The sequence below is a fragment of the Homo sapiens genome, chromosome 1 (assembly GCF_000001405.40).
Source record: "Homo sapiens chromosome 1, GRCh38.p14 Primary Assembly".
Taxonomy (NCBI): Eukaryota; Metazoa; Chordata; class Mammalia; order Primates; family Hominidae; genus Homo; species Homo sapiens.
In genome coordinates this window covers 239,815,182-239,834,780 of record NC_000001.11, presented here as the reverse complement: position 1 = coordinate 239,834,780, position 19,599 = coordinate 239,815,182, and the positions used below count along the sequence as shown (strand labels likewise).

The 19,599-nt window shown below is 41.4% G+C and overlaps 1 protein-coding gene across 33 annotated transcripts in view, besides 1 other annotated feature; it reads right to left on the bottom strand.

Annotated features, from left to right (window-relative positions):
* CHRM3 (cholinergic receptor muscarinic 3) overlaps nucleotides 1-19,599 on the bottom strand; it is a 528,883-nt gene that overhangs the window by 80,670 nt on the left and 428,614 nt on the right. For 17 of the 33 annotated variants that reach the window (XM_047443115.1, NM_001375982.1, XM_011544044.3 and 14 more), the window contains one exon: nucleotides 7,403-7,529. The exons of 6 other annotated variants lie outside the window; for them this stretch is intronic. The gene's annotated coding sequence lies outside the window, so the exon portion shown is untranslated. Of the gene's footprint in view, nucleotides 1-7,402; nucleotides 7,530-7,699; nucleotides 7,929-8,275; nucleotides 17,807-19,599 lie in introns of those variants that run through there. 10 more of the 33 variants (NR_164748.1, XM_011544043.3, NM_001347716.2 and 7 more) reach the window with 2 other exon arrangements.
* Nucleotides 583-1,126: an enhancer, noted in NCBI's record as "NANOG hESC enhancer chr1:239996955-239997498 (GRCh37/hg19 assembly coordinates)". NCBI's record gives its function as "activates a minimal SCP1, AML or CMV promoter by ChIP-STARR-seq in primed H9 embryonic stem cells {active_cell/tissue: H9 hESC(primed)}" and the evidence as "EXISTENCE:reporter gene assay evidence [ECO:0000049][PMID:30033119]".

Sequence of the window (19,599 nt, the reverse complement as noted above, 5' to 3'; positions counted from 1 at the left end):
ATTTTCAACCTAGTTGGTGGAGGCAGCCGTATACACAGTAAGCCATGCTACTGTATTTCAAGTGTTGTGCTCTAGGTCTGAGCGAGGAGGCATGAATACTCAGAAAGACAGCTACACTTTCTGCCTTCAGGGGAGGTGATGAGCAGGTCTTTGAAGACTGAGTGGGATTCACCTAAAGTAGAAGGATAAAGAGCATTTGGATTAGTGGGGACTGTATGAACTTGGCTGTCAGGAGCAGGTAAGTGTAGAATGCTTTCGGGATTGCTTAGTGGCTGGGTATTTCTATTGCCTAAAGGTCTATGGTGCAGGGAGAGAGAGAATAAGTAAGTCCCCTATTAAGTTTGGGAAGCTGAGGCAGGAGAATCGTTTGAACCTGGAAGGCAGAGGCCACAGTGAGCCGAGATTGTGCCATCGCACTCCAGCCTGGGGGACAGGGTGAGACTCCGTCTCAAAAAAAAAAAAAAAAAAAAGGCATTAAGTTGAGAAGAAACGTGGGTATTATGGTAGAGAGTTGAGTATTTATTGAACATTTAAACATGTACTACTTTGCTTTTTCTCTAATTGTTGAGTGTGCAAATTTTGTCCTCCCCAGTGTGTGTGTGTGTGTGTGTGTGTGTGTGTGTGTGTGTGTGATGTGGAATTATACAGCCAGAAGGGGACTGAGGTTATTCAGCACCAAGCCACTAATTTTATACATGAAGAAACAGAAGCATAAGTCATTTAGTTAAAAGGGTCTTTTCCCGGGGATTGGAGAGAACTCAGCTATGTATCTGTTTGCATACAGATAGAAAGTAATCTTCCTGCTGCTGTTGTATAGACTGGCTCTTTGTCAAGAAGAAAAACAGCTCATTGTTTATTTAAATTGAGCAGGAAGGAAGTGCAGGAACAGGTGGGTGTACCCGATAATCTCACTATTCAGGACATCAGGACACAAAGGAGTGTGGTATAAAGGTAGCTTTGATTTGAACACTTTCCAAGGGAGCTGAGCTCCAGAAGCTCCAGAAGGACTTGGTAATGAGGCAGTTTTATGCTGAAAGTAATCCCAAGCCAGAGCCTTCAGACTCCACCAGGGAATCTGTTACACTCAGTTATCAAGAGCATGCATGGAAGGTTGTCCCCTCCTCGGGGATGTATTAATAAAAAAGTTATCCTCAGCCAGCGTGCAGGAATTCCTCGGCTTGGTCACAACGAGGTTTTGGGGAGAGGCCAAAATCCCATGAATACCCCTGGGTCTGAAAGTATTAGCCTCCTTTGTTGAGTCCTGGTTTTGACCTCCACTGGGATGTAGTGAGAAGGCCAAAGGATAAGATGTGACCCAGGAAGTTGCTCCTCTGAAAGGCACCACCTGGAGGAGTTGGAGAAACTCCTCCTCTCCCCTGGTTCTTCTCTTGGTTTCCATGGACACCAAGCCTGAGTCTAGACTATATTCATCCTAGTCATAGGACAAAGCCAGGGTTTCTTGGCATGAGCAGTCAAGGAGCTTGCTTGGAAAGATCCTATCCCAAGCGGGGAAAGAGTTGAAGTATATAAACTTGATGCAAGGAAAAAGCTTCACTTCTAAAGGGAGGGACCAAGTCACCTTAACCTCTGGTCCACGCCTGGCCCATACTTACAACAAGGGAGGTGGACCTCAAATTCAAGTCAGTACTGAACTGCAGCTTCATTAAAATGTCTGTGGGGACTGAGATACAAGGCTTTGTAGCTTATGAAATCTGCACAATGGGTCCAGAGATGGTTTTGTCAGAGGTGTTTGAACCAGAGAGACCCCATCTTGAATGAGGGCTGGGAAAAATGAGGCTGGGACCTGCTGGGCTGTGTTCCCAGAAACTTAGGCATTCCTAGTCTCTTGATGTTTACGGTAAAGGGAACAGATTGATGACGTTAACTAAACAGACCCAGACTCAGGAGCGTCCTGATATCCCAATATCTTGAGAACAGAAGCATTCCTAATTTTGCTTTAAAGATAATAATATCGATACGTGCAAAATATAGTAATTAAGAAAATGAATCCTTTATCACAAACCCATGTAGCAGAGCATATGTCCCCATGATCTTTTTTAATCCTGTATATAAACAAGTATTGGATCTAGGATGAACGTGTTCTTCCTCTTACTCTCGGAAATGCGTTACTCTGTCTATGGAGCAGCTGTTCTTTCACCATTTTACTTTCTTACTAAATTTACTTTTGCTTTGCACTGCGGACTTGCCCTGAATTCTTCCTTGCACGAGATCCAAGAGCCCTCTTTTAAGGTCTGGATCAGGACCCCTTCCCGGTAACAGTTTGTCTACTGCTAAGGAAGGCTACGAGGGCTTCTTAGCATGGTCAAGTAAGGAATGACTACAGTGGAGGCTGCTTCCCTTTCTAAGAATGAAGACGAATACTAGGGATTTTGCTAAGAAAAAGTCATTCAAAGTTGAACAATTTGCCATGGAAATACAGATGTGCTTAATGGCAGCACCAGACTCCAGTTTGCTTTCTGCACACTGTGGCAGTTGTTTTTTTTTCTCAGCTTGACAAAATTATAAAGGAAGAACAAAAATGTGACAAAAGGTAACTGGCTGGCCACGAACCCATGAAAAAGCATGACTTCCTCCAGAAATCAAGGTGCCACCCGTACAATGGAGGGACAGTGCAGGCTCACATGCAGCTGCTTCCTCTCAAGTGATTTTACCGTAAAACATTCAGTGACAGCTTCTGTCCTCGACCACAAGCAGGCAGAGTTAATTATTTTCTTCATTTCTATAAAGGTCACAAGCCAAAAAATGAGCATGACAACTGAGGCAAAAGTGTGATGGTCTTTCAGTAAATACACAGATAAAGCACATCACATAAAGCATGGTAATGGCTGTTTGCCTTTGGGGAAGGATGCTTCTAGGAGGAAAATAATAATTTCTAACTGCTTAAAAGCCTTACTGCCTAATTCCTGATAAAACACTCAGATATTGGCTTTAATCTATATAACACCTGATTTCATGGCCAGGACACTTAGCCAATGGTATTCCAGGATGCTATTGGCCAAAGATCCTCCCCTCCCACATGGCACTTATATGTCTGGGTCAAGCACCCCCGGGCCTCACATGTGCAACTGAACTTCTGACTTAATTTCCAGAGGACAGATATTTGCCAGGCTATGCTTGAAATGATAAACTATCTCTTTGTTTAAGATTCTCAACAGTTCCATCAGTCTGTTTGATATTCTTTCTATAACCACAGACAAAATTAGAGGATGAGTTCTTATTTTTCTGCTTATGTCTGTTAAAATGGCCAGAATACTTACCATGATAGGGTCTGAAACAGAAATGTATTAAACAAGTCAAAGAAAAACGGTTCCTTCCAGTATTGTGACACTGTGTTGCCTTAATCGATCAAGAGGGCATTGGTAAGGCACTTGGCAGAGAGGGCTTTGAGGAAGGCCTACCAGTTGGCTGCTCTCCTGTTTTGTCCAGGCCCGAGGGGAGTGACCACCAGGAGCTTCCTTTGATGTTCCTACATCAAAGGATTATAGATGGAATTAAGGTCTTAGAAACCATCTTGTTCAATATCTTCCATTTAGAGTTAAGAAAATGGAGAGAGGAAATGACCGAGTCAGCGTCTCCTGACTGGTGAGGGTGCATTCGGGTCAGCCCTGTGTCCTGACTCGCTGGGCTGTGCTCTTTCTTCTAAGCAATGCTGCTTTTACCTCTTGGAGACATGTGACAGAGCAGTCAATAATAACGAAATGTTACATGGCACTGCCCCTTCTTAAATGTACTTTTAAAATACAAAGTCCATATTAAAAAAAAAAATCCCAAATACAAACAAAGCGAATTTTGAAAATCTCATGGAATGAATAGGGGAACTTTCCACCTCCTCAGCCCATTGGTACTAAGTGTTCTGAAATTAGGACTGAGGAACCACCAATCAAAAATATGGTTGTTTCAGGGGGGTGAGAGTCTGTAGGGTGGTCCTGCAGAGGTTGGGTGTAGGAGCCTAGCGGTGTCCACAGCTCAGGGACATCATTGGTCTTCTTTGCTCACAGGGAAAATGTCACCATTAATGGTCTTATTTTCTTGTAAGCAACTTTGGTTTTATTTTTTGACATGGAGTCTCCCTCTATTGCCCAGGCTGGAGTGCAGTGGCACAATATTGGCTCACTGCAACCTCCGCCTCCTGGGTTCAAGCAATTCTCCTGCCTTAGCCTCCCAAGTAGCTGGGACTACAGGCACGCGCCACCACACCTGGCTAGTTTTTTTGTATTTTTAATAGAGACGGGGTTTCACCATATTGTCCAGGCTGGTCTCGAACTCCTGAGCTCGTGATCCGCCCGCCTCGGCCTCCCAAAGTGCTGGGATTACAGGCGTGAGCCACTGTGCCAAGCAGTAAGCAACTCTTATCCATGTGTGTTCCACAGACATTTCATTTCTGAATCCTGAAGGCATCATGTTAAATTTCACATACACCGCTTTAAGTCACACATATTTTGACTGAGGGTGGAGAGGTAAAGAATGTAATATTAATATATTTTCTAGCATTTTGCATGTATTATCTCTTTTAGTCCTAACAGCAACCTCAAGAAGTACATATTTTAATCTTTATTTGACAGATGTATGAATATAAGCTCAGAAAGAATTTCCACAAATACTTAGGCCCACTAAATGAGCAGGGCAGGATGAACTGAGTTCTTTCAGATTTGAAAATCCATGATGTTTTAAAAAGGCATATTTCACAAACAGTCCATCCTAAATGACAGTTCCAAGGCCCAGGTATCATTTTGCTATTAAATTCCTTGAAATAATCGCAGAGATTTCAAATATCAAGTATTTTTCAAATTCTTCAAAAATAGAGGCAGGTACAGTATTTGAGTAGAGACAAAAATAGTAATTATAAGGGGCTCTTATTTGGTGTTTCTATGTGTCAGGCAATGTTCTAAGTGCTTATTGGACATTAAGTCATTTGATTACCCTAGCAATTCTGAGGCTCTGAGGGAAGTACTACTGTTATTCCCATTTTAGAGATAGGGAAATTGAGCACAGAGAGGGTGAGTAATTTTCCCAAGGTCACACAGTAAGTGGCAGAGCTGGGTTTCACATCGAGGCAGTCTGCCTCTGAGACCCTGCTTTAACCACTCTGCTGTGCCATCTGTCCTAGCCTTCCCCAACCTGAAGACCACATGAGTCAAACAATTTTTAGTAAAACTGTTATAAGATGAAACACAAAAGATTGATATATTGAAATTTATCTGAAAATACATGCTTTTTTGGTATAGAAAGTAAAATACAGTAACAGATAGCAGGTGTTTTATAACTAAAGTTGCTGGAATAATCCTTGATCTCAATGGAAACCAAGCCAATCAACATAAAAAATTTAAAATTTCTTTTCTTTTTCAAAAAAAAAAATCATTCAGTCCTTGCAGTCAATTGAACTAATGCCTTCCCAGTCCCAGGGGGCTGTACCAACTGGGAAAATCTTTGACCAAACTGACACCAATACTATAGCTTTTGGTAGGAGAGGCACAGACTTGCAAAGCTAGCGGTTTTTCTTACTTTATAATTGAGGAAACCGAAGCTCAGAAGGGCCAAAATTCCCACTGTTGGAATTAGACTTAGAACTGCCAGTTCTACTCATACCTACAGTTAAACAATCCACTTCGCCACAGAGATTCATTAACTTCACTCTGCTTTAATCACAGAGATGGAAAGAAATTAAAACAAAGCAAAACAATAACAGCAACAACAAAAGCAACGTCAAGGACATTTCAAGAAAGCAAGTGTCTGCACACCTGCTGCAGCAGGTCACATATAGTCACAGATCTAGCCCTCATAGTGTGCATCCCATGCATCAGCAGGTCCCTTTGGCTCTACTTTAAATTTGCCCCAAATCTTAGTCCAAGCCATGACCATTTCCTGAAAGTCTCTGAAGTGATTTCCTTTGTTCATCTTAGATCTCCTCCCATCCGCTATCCGCACAGCAGGCAGAGTGACACTTCCAAAACCTAACTCAGATCACATCATTCCTTAGCACAGGGTCCCTCTGATATCCTCCATTTTCTTAGAGCAAAATCTGCATTGATATTCTAGCTCCCAGGTGCCTTCCCGACCTTCTCTCATACCCCTCTCCCCTTGCCCACTGTTCTCTGTCCGTTCTGCATCTATGCTGTTCCGGGAATACTCCAAATGTGCTCCCACCTCAGGCTTTTGCACCTCCTCGTTTGTCTTCATTGACCTGGTCCCTTCCCAGAGAGCACCCTCACTTCAATCAGTTCTTTGCTTAAATGTTATTATATTAGACTGTCCTTCCCTGAATACGCTATAGAAGCCATCTTATTCATGCTCTACCCTTTGTAATAATTTTTCTTCATGCCAGTTATGGTCCCACAACATTGTGTGTGTATAAGTGTGTGTATATATACACCTGTGTGTGTATCTATGTATGTGTACCTATATAGGTGCATATATATATGTGTATATATCTGTATGTATGTATACACACGTGTATATTTATGTGCATGTGTCTATGTGTGTATTTATGAATGTATCTATGTGTATGTATATCTATGTGTGTGTAACTATGTGTGTCTATGTATGTATGTATGTGTCTATATCTATGTGTGAATATCCGTATGTGTATATATGTGTATCTCTGTGTCACCATGTGTGTATTTGTGTGCGTGTATTTCTTTTTCCTAACAGAAACAGAATCTCAAAGGGAGCAGTAGCTGTGTTTACTTCACCATTGCCTCCCTTGTATCTAGAACGTAGTAGGTGTTTAATAAATATGTGTTGAATGAGGAATGAATAATTTATGATAACAGATATCTGAAACACAAAGTTAAATTGTCTCCTAGGTGTTAGAAAAAAGAATGTAAAGAATTACATGCTGCACTTTATAATGATTTTTTAATTTAAAATACATTAAAGGTATTCTAGTTTTTCACACTTAGACACTGTAAAAATATTTGCAGTTCAATGTGACTTACTGCCTCGAATGAATTAATGAGCAGGGAAGGTTTTATTGTTAGGTGGCAACTATGTTGAATTTTTTTTTGTGGGTTAAATTTGTATTTATAAGATTTTTAAATTATCTGTGCATAGTAAAATATATGATGTTTATTAGGTTTATACAATCACTTAGCAAAAATAATATGAGTAATAGGTAATTTTTAGTGAAACGTGCTATTTCTAGGTACTAGTCTAAACCTTTTACCCACCCTATGTCATTTAATCTTCAAGAAGCCTGTGCAGTAGGTAGGAACTATCATTACCTTCAACATATAAATGAGGAAACAAAGACACACAGAGTTAAAATATCCTAATTGAGGTCACGTAACTAATCAACAGTGGCCAGAATACAAAAAGGCAATTTGTCCATTCTTCTATTCAGTCATCCATTTTTTAATTAAAAAAATGCCTTCTGTGTACTTACAATCTACCAGGAACTGAGTTATGTAACAAGGATGCAAAACAGTGACATAATCTCTACGGTCATGATGATCCCGGCATAGGACAGAGGAGTGGACCAGATGTCAGGCTGCCCAAGAGACCAGCTCCACCTGGGAAGACAGAAACCAGGCAAGGAGTCAGTTCCTTCTCCCACTTTGGATTCCTGTTTTTAATGGTGGAGTCATTAAGCATCATAGAATGATCCAATGTCTCTGTTTTCCCTCCCTAGAGTCTTCAACTGAAGTCATAAAAGAAAGGGACTATTTCAGTAGCAAGTTACCTAAGTGTTAATGTTTGGTTCTGTGGGTGGCCTTGAATTTGTAACTTTGCAGCGTGCCACTCTTGCTTCATTTCATCCAGGTTTTTCTTGACATCTGAAGAGGCAGTATCTCTAGGGAGTATATTTTTGTATTTCTCCATATGTTGCTTTTTGTCTCCTCACATATATTGCCAATAAGACTTGTGAGTTCCACCACAGGCCAGCTCTGCAACTTATGTTTAGTGTTGGCCTGGAAAGAAATATTATTATTTTTATTGGTTCATGTCTTTTCCTCTATTGTAGAAATGATCTTTTCTTGCATTTTCCCTCAGCAGATTGAGGCATTTTCTTCCATCTTATTTTATCCATATTTTGTACATTGCTTATAGGTTTTTCTCATTCAGGATCGTGTTTGCTTCTACCCTTTATCAAAAATCTATTTAACAAAGTGCCCTCCTCCCATATTAACTCTGTAGCTTTTCTATTGGTTACTTTTCCCGATACTTTTCATTTCTTCATTCCTGTAGATTAAGGTAATTTTTTTGCATATTTGCTTCTTTGCCACAGTCCTCTCCTGAAAATCTAGGCTACACTGACCTTGGTTTCCTCCAGAACATGGCTGCCACATAATACTGAAACCAGAGATGCACTGATGCTGAAGAACATTCTCTTTTCTCTCTCTCTGTCTTAGGTAGTCACTTTGCAGTCATACTCAAGTATGCCTATCGAGCATATTTACTCATCCGATGTTTCCTGTGTTTACAGAACAAATGGCAACAGGAACTATAAGATCGCAAAATGCAGCATCTCTTAATTTCCTTACAACCAAATGGGGAGCGAGGGTGGTGGGGATGAGCATATGTGATTTTAAAAAAGATTTTTAAAAAATTGTAGTAAAATACATGTAACATAAAATTTACCATGTTAACCATTAGGTGTAAAATTCAGTGGCATTAAGAATATTCACAATGATATATATCCTTCCCTAGAATGTTTTTCATCTTGCGAAACTGAAACTCTTTATCCACTAAACAATAACTCTGCATTTTCCCTCTTCCCAGTTCCCAGAAACCAGCATTCTATTGTTGGAGTCCCCAGGAACTCTATGTTCCTCACGTAAATGGTATCATATAGTATTTGTCATTTTGTGACTGGCTTATTTCACTCAGCATAATGTTCTCAAGGTTCATCTATGTTGTTGCACCTATCAGAATTTCCTTGCTGGACAGGTGCAGTGTTTCACACCTGTAATCCCAGCACTTTGGGAGGCTGAAGCAAGAGGATCACTTGAGCCCAGGAGTTCAAGGCTGCAGTGAGCTATGATCGCACCACTGCACTCCATCCTGGGAAAAAGAGCAAGACCCTGTCTCCAAATAAAAAAAAATAAAAAGAATTTCCTTCCTTTTTAAGACTGAATGATATTCCATTGTATGTGTATATTACATTTTATTTACCTATTCATCCATCAATGGACACCTAGGTTGCTTCCGTCTTTTGGGTATTGTGAATAATGCTGCTATGAATGTAGGTATACAAATACCTGTTCATATCATGAGTAATTCTAAAGCTCAAAGTCACAGAATGACAATAACATACATACACCACGAGAACTTACAGTCATATATAAGTGCTGAGTGTACTGTGGGAATCACTGAAGTCAAGTGAGAACTTTATAGAAGATGGAATTGTTGAGCGGCACTTTCAAGGTAGCAAGAGAGAAGATTTGAAGGCAAAGAGAGAGGGAGGGCACTTGGCATATGTGTATTGTGCATATAATCATCATAAAAGTTGAGAAATACATGGTGTAGAGGGCGGAGCAGGCATGGGGTGTTCTTTAGGCTAGAATAGATAGTACTGGCCTGAATAGATGAGGAGAATGCTAGTGAATTGATATAAAATACGAATGACCATGATTTTAAAGTTTTCACAGAGCAATCACTACAATGAAGCAACTGTGAATTTCTCAGAATTAAAAAGGCATCCGCTGGACTGTATGTCCCATAAGGACAGGCCTGAAGAAATTGCTTGGCCCACCACTGTAACCCAGTGCTGATCACAGCACGTGCACTGGCAGGTGCGCAGTAAATGTATGTTAAATACATGAATGAATGCATGAACTGCTAAGGATGATTGCCACTGATGAAGATGGGCTAAAGTTGAGAAGGCTGAAGTTGCAGGTTTTATTTGAAGGAATCAGGCCTTATTGGAATAGCTGAAAGAAATAACAAAGTTATTGGATCTGAAATACTTTAAGGAGGCAGAATCTTTCAGGCAGAGCCACTAGATCTCCTTGGTTAGGATTTTGTTTATAACTGTTGTCAATACCTGTGTTGGTTTGTCCCATGTTACTATAACTTTTTATAACTGGTGAGTATTTCAATAGATGTTAATTGTTTTCCACTCTACCCTGGATGTGTTCTTAACAGCTAACTCTGTTTTACAAGGCTGACTTTTGGTCAGTATTTTCTTGTTAAGATAATCATAATTCTAAGGACAAAGGAACACAAACGTGATCCTAATTTATAGATATGCGAATTGTTTTAGACTGCTTTTCCCCCTTACAGGGAGCAAGAATCAATATATTCATTAATTATCTTTTGCTTATCTGTAGATAAGAGGTTTTTATCATTTTCACCTAACTTTGTGATTATATGCCAGCCATAAATGAAATTCTATTGGCATTGCACAAGTATCGAACATTGGGACTGGGTTGTCTTATACATTAAGCAAGGGAAAAAGTCTACATTTGCACATTGAAACACCTCGATTGAAGGCACCGAGTCCACCTTGTGCAATCTTTGGTCCTAAATGGAAGAGGATCCATGTACTTGCTGACGGTTGTTCTCTGCCGTAGCTCACACCATGGCATCTCTGGTGATAAAATTGCAAAGCTTCTCTATGCTACATTCAAGATATAAAACAAGTGGTTATATTTTAGAGTAGAGAACAAAGATGTGTGATACGATGGCACAAGGAGCTGGAGTGAAATGCGGCCTCACCAACGAGACAGAGGGCACCGCCGGCAGCCTGGCATTCTGTGCCCGTAGCAGATGGTCACGCACATGCTCCCGAGTCACAGCCACAGGCACACGGGGAACCCTGCAGGCTCCTTTCGACAGTTATTATTCGAGAGCTGTTTTCTTTAGGTGTTTGTGAAAGGTCAGCGTCTGATCTAATTCCGCCCACAATTACACAGTTATAGTTTCCTTGACTGCATTTGTCACTCTTTTAGCATCATCTGACATTCTATCTGCTTGCCAGTTTTCTTGCTAATTCCTTTTGGAAAACTATTTTTTCCCCAAGTTTGTCATTTTACTTAAAAAAGACACCACAAAAGGGTCTTCTGTTCTATTGAGTTGTTCGCTTTTTTGGCCTTTCCTATTGGAAAAATCTCACATAAACCACTTCCTGATGAGAAAAATCATTTATTTAATCCTTAGCCTATGTTTATAATTGCTTCTGAAGGATGATTTCAGTGCATTAATAAGTGATTAAATTAAAAATATTTTAGAGAGTCGACAGTAATATATCCTTCTCACGGTACTGACTTGAGGCTGAGAGGGCGGGGATCAGGCATGAAGGCATTATGGTCCCAATGCTGAATGAACGAAATGCATAGAAAACCAGCATAAGCCGGGCTGGGTCCCAGGCATCTCACAGGTGGCCTCCCTGGACCAAGGCTGGGGGAATTGATCATAATTGGCTTGTCAACTGTCTGGGGCACATTAGATACCATCCTGCTCAAGGCACCAGGCTTCACTAGATGGTACCTGGAGGTCTCTCCTCTATGATTCTATGAGGCTATTGGTTTTAATATTCCCAGTTGAATATGATTATGTCATTGACTCTGAGCCTAGTTTCCTGAGGGATATTACCTTATTTGCCTCTTTCATTGAGCTTTCTTGATGATCAGATAAGATGGTGTAGGAAATAGTAATTTAAAATGTATAAAATGCTGCACAAATGTTAGAGCTTATTAGGTTATGTGCGAGGATAAATCGCTCACTTTGGCATAAATCTGTGATAAACTGTCTACCATTGGTTTGTAAAATTTCAGCCTTGAACTCCTGGGTACCTGGCGAACCATTATTTCTATTAACGTCTTTCTTTCTTTCTTTGAAGACCAGGGTTTTAGTCTATTTCTTTGCCACTTTGTAACTGTGGGGAAATTACAAGTGCTGGATTTGGGTCTCAACACATATCTTTTATGTTTCCTCCTATAACATTTTACTCTAAGTACCTATATTACTTGGGTAATGATGCAAACGTTGCAAATTGCCTAAGCTCCACAAAGGCACAACTTAATGAAAATCCCCTTTCCATGTCTCATTATTCAGCAATGATGTTAGTGTCCATAACACAAATTTAACTTTTATTAATTATATTCTTTGCTTTGCATGTTAGAGTCAACATGGGATTAAATAAAAGGAATTTCTGTGCTTACTGGGATTATGATAATTTATTTAAATATAACTAGAAACTTACTTCCTGGATTGAGATCTGGGGCTCAGTCTACATTTTTAAATCGGTGTCTGTAATTTTTCAAGTTGTAAAAGTTATTTGAAGTAGTATTGATTTGGTTTATGTAGAATAAGGATTCTTTAATATGCTCACATTTCATGCTAGATAAATCATTATAATCACCGCACATCCACCTTTGGATGTTCTGGTTAAACAAATAACACCATCCCTAGAAAGTAGAAAAGCTCTCTTGCAATTTGTAGTACTCGGTTTAGCTATCTTTAAGTTATTTCTCCATCCTTGTTTTAGAAACACAACCCAAGTTATAAGACACTCCAGGAATCTCAGCATCAGAACCAAGTTACGGGTACCATTTGTTGGTTACAAAAGGGCAAGAGTTGCCAATTACTATTTAATTGTGTTGGTTGTGGGGCCATACTTTCGAAAGATATAATTTAGTGAATTAGATTTCTATGCAGAAATATTTCTGTTAATGCTCATCTATTAGCTTCTGTACTAGTCTGTTCTCACACTGCTATAAAGAAATACCCGAGACTGGGTAATTCATAAAGGAAAGAGGTTTAATTGACTCAGTTCCACATGGCTGGGGAGGCCTCAGGAAACTTACAATCATGGTGGAAGGCAAAGGAGAAGCAGGCACCTTCCTCACAGGGTGGCAGGACGTAGTGAGTGCAGGCAGGGGAAATGCTGGACAGTTATTAAACCATCAGATCTTGTGAGACTCACTCACTATCACGAGGATGGCATGGAGGAAACTGACCCCATGATCCAGTTACCTCCACCTGGTCCTGCCCTTGATGTGTGGGGATTATGCGGATTACAATTCAAGATGAGATTTGGGTGGGGACACAGCCAAACCATATCAGTTTCCAAGTGTTCCAAGTACAGTTTTAGAAAACTGTATTCTGATTCTGGAATTTAGAAATTCTGTTCCAGCTAAATTTAAACTTCAATAAAGTAGTTTCAAATGTGATCACTTTCTATCCCAAAAGGGATTGTGTGTTGACGTGCATGGTGAGGGTTCATTTCTCATCCTAGTGGCTGGGAGACTGGTGCCCCTGGGGCCCCTGCCACTTGGTTCCTATTTCCCAGCCAGCACTGAGTGGTGTATGTCCCACTGGAAAGAGGGGCAATCAGAATGTACATCAGAGAATTTCTGGGAATATCCTGATAGTGGATGTGTGACTAGAGAGTCACTTAAAGACCAGCATTGATGTCAAAGTAAAGAAAGCAAGGTGGTTTTGCCCTGCCTTGTAGGACACAGCTCACACCTACCCCATATGCTGAAGTATGTTAACTGAGGCACAGATTACAAATGCCATTTTTATGTCAGATAAAACAGAGATCAATGTGTATATGTCTCATTAGAGACTCAATAGCTTCATCGAAAGTGTTGGTCAGCTTTATCCTGGATGTTGGAAACACCATAGAGTTAACAGGCCTTTTGAATTTTAAAAAACAACCATACCACAAATAATTTCTTCTAGCTTTGGGATGGCCACTGAACCCATGAAGTCAGAACATGTAGTTCTTTTTGTTGTGGATGGCGCATCACAAGAGGATAATAAACCCACATAAATCATGCAAGATTATACCTTTCCTAGTTTGCCCTCTTTTTGTCAGTGTAAGAGAAAGATAAGCAAGGAGAGAAGAAAAAGAAATTTCACTCAATGCCCATATTGTGTGAGCCCCTAGTGAACAATATATAAATTTAAATACTAACATTTTTTAAAATTTATTTTTCATTGATACATAATAGATTTGCAATTTGGGGGGTATATGTGGTAATCTGATACATTCATATAATGGTTCCTTTCTGGATAGTACTAATAAAATTATTTCAAGAAATGCATAGTTTTTTCTGGAATGCAGAACAGCAAGGGCACAACTTTTGGTCACCTGTTTTGTTGTCTTGAAGACCAACATGGCATCTTCCTGTTGCTGGGGCGCACAAACCAGTACCCCAAAATATGGCACTTTGTACATGCTGTACTGAAAAAAAAGCCTCAAAGTCTCTCTAATCACCTTTCTCCCCCCATCAACATCTCTCCCGAAGCATAGGATGAGATTGTTCTCTGAACTTCCCGTATTTGCCTAAAATCCGGACCTATCATAGAAGAAAACAATAACCTCTGGTCCTTTTTCCAAGTTTTCATCAACTGAACAGATATCGCAGGAGGGAAGACGAAAGTCTGCCAACATATCGGGATAGACTTTTTGTCACACACCATCATCTGCTCTGTGGCCCCAACAGACTTTGCCCCAGACAACTGTCTGTTCCTCAAGCCCATTAAATTCCCCTAAAAATCATTTACTAACCGCCTAGAATCACCCACACTTCCTACCTCCCTTTCCCTAAGAAGTAGTATGTATAAGCGTCTGTGCACCACTGGGATACTGGGTAATTGTTCTGTGATTCTCCCTGTGTGCACAGTAGGAATAAATGTATAAAGACTTTTTTCCCATTAATGTGCCTTATTGTGAGCTGATTTTTCAGCGAACCTTCTGAGGGTAAAGGGGAAGTGGTCTATCGTTGTTTTGGGCTTGAGGGTTCGGAAACAGGTTGTGTGAATTACCCTGGAGCTCTCACCGACATGGTAAACACAGGGTGTGACCTCACCCACCTTCTCACTGCCCAGTGAGCACAGGTTCGGCCACTAGTCTCCAGGCATCCGGTTGGACAGGCTGTGTCTAGAAATCATGGTCAGGGAATGAGTGGGGCAATGCTGTGGGGAGGGAAGTACGGAATTCCATGGCAATCACATTGTCTCTTCTTCCGTGAAAACCAGAAGATGACTGGCAGGAAGAAAAGCTCTTAGACACCTCTCGTCTGCTCTGTGCTTCAAGCCTCACTACAAATAACACATTCACAAAAGGATCTCATTTTGATTTAGCAGGTCTGCATATGTCTAAGCTCATGGTGATTGTGCCTTACTGATATTTTTACCATACGAGCTTCTTTAATGAACATTTCAACACAGAAAATACTTCTCACAGCCATCTCATGTTATTACCTGATCTTTCCATTAATCTTTCCTACAGGCTTTTATATATTTATTGAACTTTTTGATCAAATTTCCCCGATTGCTTAAATATGTATGTAGCTCAATGAACTATTTTGCTTAACGCAGACAGGCAGTAATAGGAAATTGAGGTCAGATACAGGCTGAGCTAGAAGCAACTGTGGACTCATACTTTTCTTCCTCTGAAGGAGCAACAGGACCCAAAATGATAGCTGATCGGAAGAAACAGTGGAAACCTCAGAATGTGTAAAGTGTTGATCTAAGCCCTTCAAGTGCATGAATGAATTTCCACCTGCCTGTCCAGAGATCTCCTGCAGGGGGACCTAAGAGACCTATCTGTGACTGTGGGGTCTGTGCCTACTAGCCTCGTTTATTTGGGGTGACATCGACTGGAAGGAGAGCAGGTTAGGGGTGCAACAAGGTAGAGCTTTTAAGGAGCGCAAATCTATCTGCTTGGCCAGGGACTCCAGTCAGGTAGTCGCCTGGCTGAGTGGCAGAAAGTTGAGAGGATAACTGGCTCATGTTAAACAAAGTTTATGGGAAGCCATTGTTTTAGACTGAGCTCCTGCACTAGGCCCCAGCAGACCAGGCCAAAGCAGAGTGGAGCCACTTGTGTTCAGTATCACATAATCAAACTGAACTTGGAAATGGGTCACTCTTCCAAACAACAGGAGCTTCACAGCAACCAATCGGAAGGGGCCCAGTTTACCTGAGCATGCATCATAAGGAAGTCCACTTAGCTTTAACCCTGTTAGGAGGGTAACTCTGAAATGTCCAATCTGCTTTGTGTTCTCTGTTTCTGCCTTCTTCAGCCCTTTCCTGCCCATAAAGCCAACTCCGTCTGCTCAGCTCAGCAGAACATCCATTCTATTTCATAGCATGAGGTGTTGCCTAATTCTAGAATTGCAAATAAAAGCCAATTAGATCTTGAAATTAAGCTTGTCATAAATTTGGACACAGGGAAGCAGGCATCAATAGCACAGGCCATGCTCTCCGGAGTACAAACTCCAGAAATGAGAGGCTGGCCCTGTGTGAGAAGCAGGGCTACGGTGCTCTTAGTCCATGGACTGCACTGAGAGCAGGACTCCAAGATGAGGCAGACGCATCCATATGCTTTAAAGACTGGACACCAAGGAGCTTCCAGGGAGTGGAGGAAGCTCAGAAAGGGTGAGGGCAAATGTCACTGTGCCCCTATGATGTATATTATGGACTGAATTGTGTTTTTTAAAATTCATAGTTTGAAGACCTAATCCCTCATGTGGCCAAATTTGGAGACAGGGCCTTTAGGGAGATAATTAAGGTTAAATGAAGTCCCAAGGTTGGGGTCCTAATCCAGTAGGATGGGTGTTTTTGTAAAAGAAGGAAGGTAAATCAGAGTTCTCTTTTTGTGGGTACAGAGAGGAAAACTCATGTGAAGACCCAGTGATAAGGCGGCCATCTACAATCCAGGAAGAGAGCCCTCACCAGATATCAACTCTGCCTGCACCTTGATGTTGGATTTCCAGCTTCCAGAACTGTGAGATAGAAATGTCCTTCGTTTAAGCCGCCCAGGCTGTGGTGTTTTGTTGTGACAACCCAAACAGATTAAGAAAATGTGCCAAATACCAGGCATACTATTAGCTCGTCTAATTCTCAAAGCCTGTGGGTAAGGCAGGCTTTATTATCGCCATTTCATAGATGTAGAAACAGGCTCAGGAAAGGAAAGTCATTTCTCTAAAGTCGCGTGGCTAGTAAGTGGCACCTGACATGTGAACAAGGGGTGGGCTGAGAGGGTGAGAGGGTGGTGGACAGTAACATTGTAGCTGCTTAATGGGACGGAATCACAGTTCCCTGAGTGTGCCAAGGAAGATTTCTTTCTAAAAGTCTGAGCTTAGAGATCTGTGCGAGTGTGTGTGTGTGTAGAGGGAGCACTGTGAGTTTTCGAGGGAGGAGATGGGGGTCTTGCATGTGTGTCCTTGTGCATTTTGGGTGGACAAACTAGATGAGAACAGGTGGGTGGGGGTGGAGGCTAAAGGCAGAGGAAGCCAAAGACAGTGCCTCCAGTAGCCCGTGGGAAGCTTCCTCATGCCTTTGAGATATTGCAGGAGGTCCCAGAGCTCTGGCCCATGGTGATCTCAGTGGTACTGGATTCTGTCTTAAAGATTTGGGCAGTTCTGGGGGTGACACAATTAGGGAATATGACTCACATCAAACTGACCATGAAATACCAGTTGAGAAAGGAAAAGTAAGAAGAGAAAGATAGTTTTGCAAATGAGTCAAGGTTACATAGATGGAAGGAAGAGCTAGCCTGGATTTAAACAGATCTTCATGGTTTCACAGTGAACTTCAAAATTACTCTTTTAGTCTCCAGAGCTCCAGGACAGCCTCAGAGCCTTCAGGGTCTGGTCTTGCTTTCCCCACAGGGCAATGGTATAAGAGGTGGATATTCCTGTCTCCGTGGAGAGAAGACAGGCATAGTAAACCCTTAGGAGGCACTGTCTGTGTCCATATATTATGCAAAGCTTTTGGCATACATCAGCTCACAGTGCCTCACATGTGCTAATATCATCCCTAGTTTATTGATAAAGACTGAGGCAGCTGGGCGTGGTGGCTCACGCCTGTAATCCCAGCACTTTGGGAGGCCGAGGTGGGGGAGTCAGGAGTTGGATACCAGCCTGGTCAACATGGTGAAACCCTGTCTCTACTAAAAATATAAAAAAATTAGCTGGGCATAATGGTGGGCACATGTAATCCCAGCTACTCAGGAGGCTGAGGCAGGAGAATTGCTTGAACCCGGGAGGTGGAGGTTGCAGTGAGCTGAGATCGTGCCACTGCACACCAGCCTGGCAACAGAGTGAGACTCCCTCTCAAAAAAAAAAAAAAAAAGACTGAGGCACAGACAGGCTGGATATTATTTCTGCAGTTTCTTCAGTCACACAGGCAGAATAGGGCTTAGTCAGGCTTTGAGCCCAGGCAGTCTACTAGATTATGCTGCCCAGTGGCTTCCTGAAGAAATCCACCTTGCTTGGTACTTCCTGGACCAGGAGAAGGGCAAGCAGGCCTGGGGAGCAACATTCTGAGCTTGTTATCTGGAGGTCTGGGATTGATTCCCTCCCTCTTCTGCCTGTGCCTCAGTTTGCCTTGCTTTAAACAGTGTCATGCAATATAGATCTTACATATAGATGCTCTGTGGGGATTAGTGAGGGAATGCTCAGAAGTTATTAATAAAGCTTCTCAGCAAAACAGGATTACGTAGATTTAAAAAAAGGAACAAAAAAAGGAGCAACACCGGTGGAGTAGTGAAGCAAGACTGTATTAGGAAAGACCACGTCTTTGAAGAAAGGCAAACACATTCCCTTGGCCTGAATCAGCCTCATGGGAGGGGCAGCAGCAGCCATCAATCGCAAAGCACCGCCTTCTCTGCATTCTGGATGCTTCTCTGCAGCTCAGAAGCTCTGCCAGCTACTAGGCCACCTAGATGGCAGCAAACTGGTGGGTGGGTGAATCCTCTGGATATGTGACAATTGGGAGGAGGGTGTGAGGGCAATAAGCTGGCATGGAAGTCTGTTCTTTTTTCCCCCCCAGAATGAGAAAGTTTTAGCAAAAGAAAAAAAAAAGACAAACCAGACTGAAATGTATTGATATCTGATGAACTACACTGACCCAGAAATACTATCTAATTTGTTATTGAGACAGAAGCACCATATTGATTTTGCTGAAGTGCTGTCACTGCGCATCATTCATCTGGAGAAGAGTTAATTAAGAGTGCAGTTTAAAGATGCATAAAACCTGGACCTAAGATGTAGCCTCAGACCGAGGCACCATGTGCTCCAAGATCAAATACAGGTCCCAATATGAGAACGCCTTCAGCCTCCTCCCAAAGTCAATTTACCTCTGCTCATTGTTCAGCTATCATTTTGTTTTGCATTTGAGTTGGTTACCAGTAGGCTGAATTAGACCTACCCTGTGGTAAATGTGCTGGCATTTTCTTTATGCTTTAGTCTATAAGCTTATTGTTTTCAAATTTTCAAATTACTTTTTTGCAAGATGTAAGCTTTCAGAACCACTGTACTATATGCTTGGTTTAAATTACTGTAACTCCCAAAACAAGCATAATGTCATTCACATGAAAATAGGGGTTTATATATTGCTTATGAAATCAGAGAAAAAGGCAGGAGGGGACTTTAAAAGTTTTGGACAAGCCTTTTAATTTTACAAATAACAAAACTTGATTAAAAATGCAAGAGAAAAACTCCACAAGACAAAAGGATGAGAGTTTAAATGCCCGGATTAAAGTCACACATTTCCTCCGGTCGGTGAGTCATGAGAATGGGTACATTTTGATATGTCCTGACAGTACAGAGGAAGGCATAGATAAATCAGCACAGCTACTTTCAATTTTACTGATAAATCCCTCTCAACTGGCTTCAGTCTTAA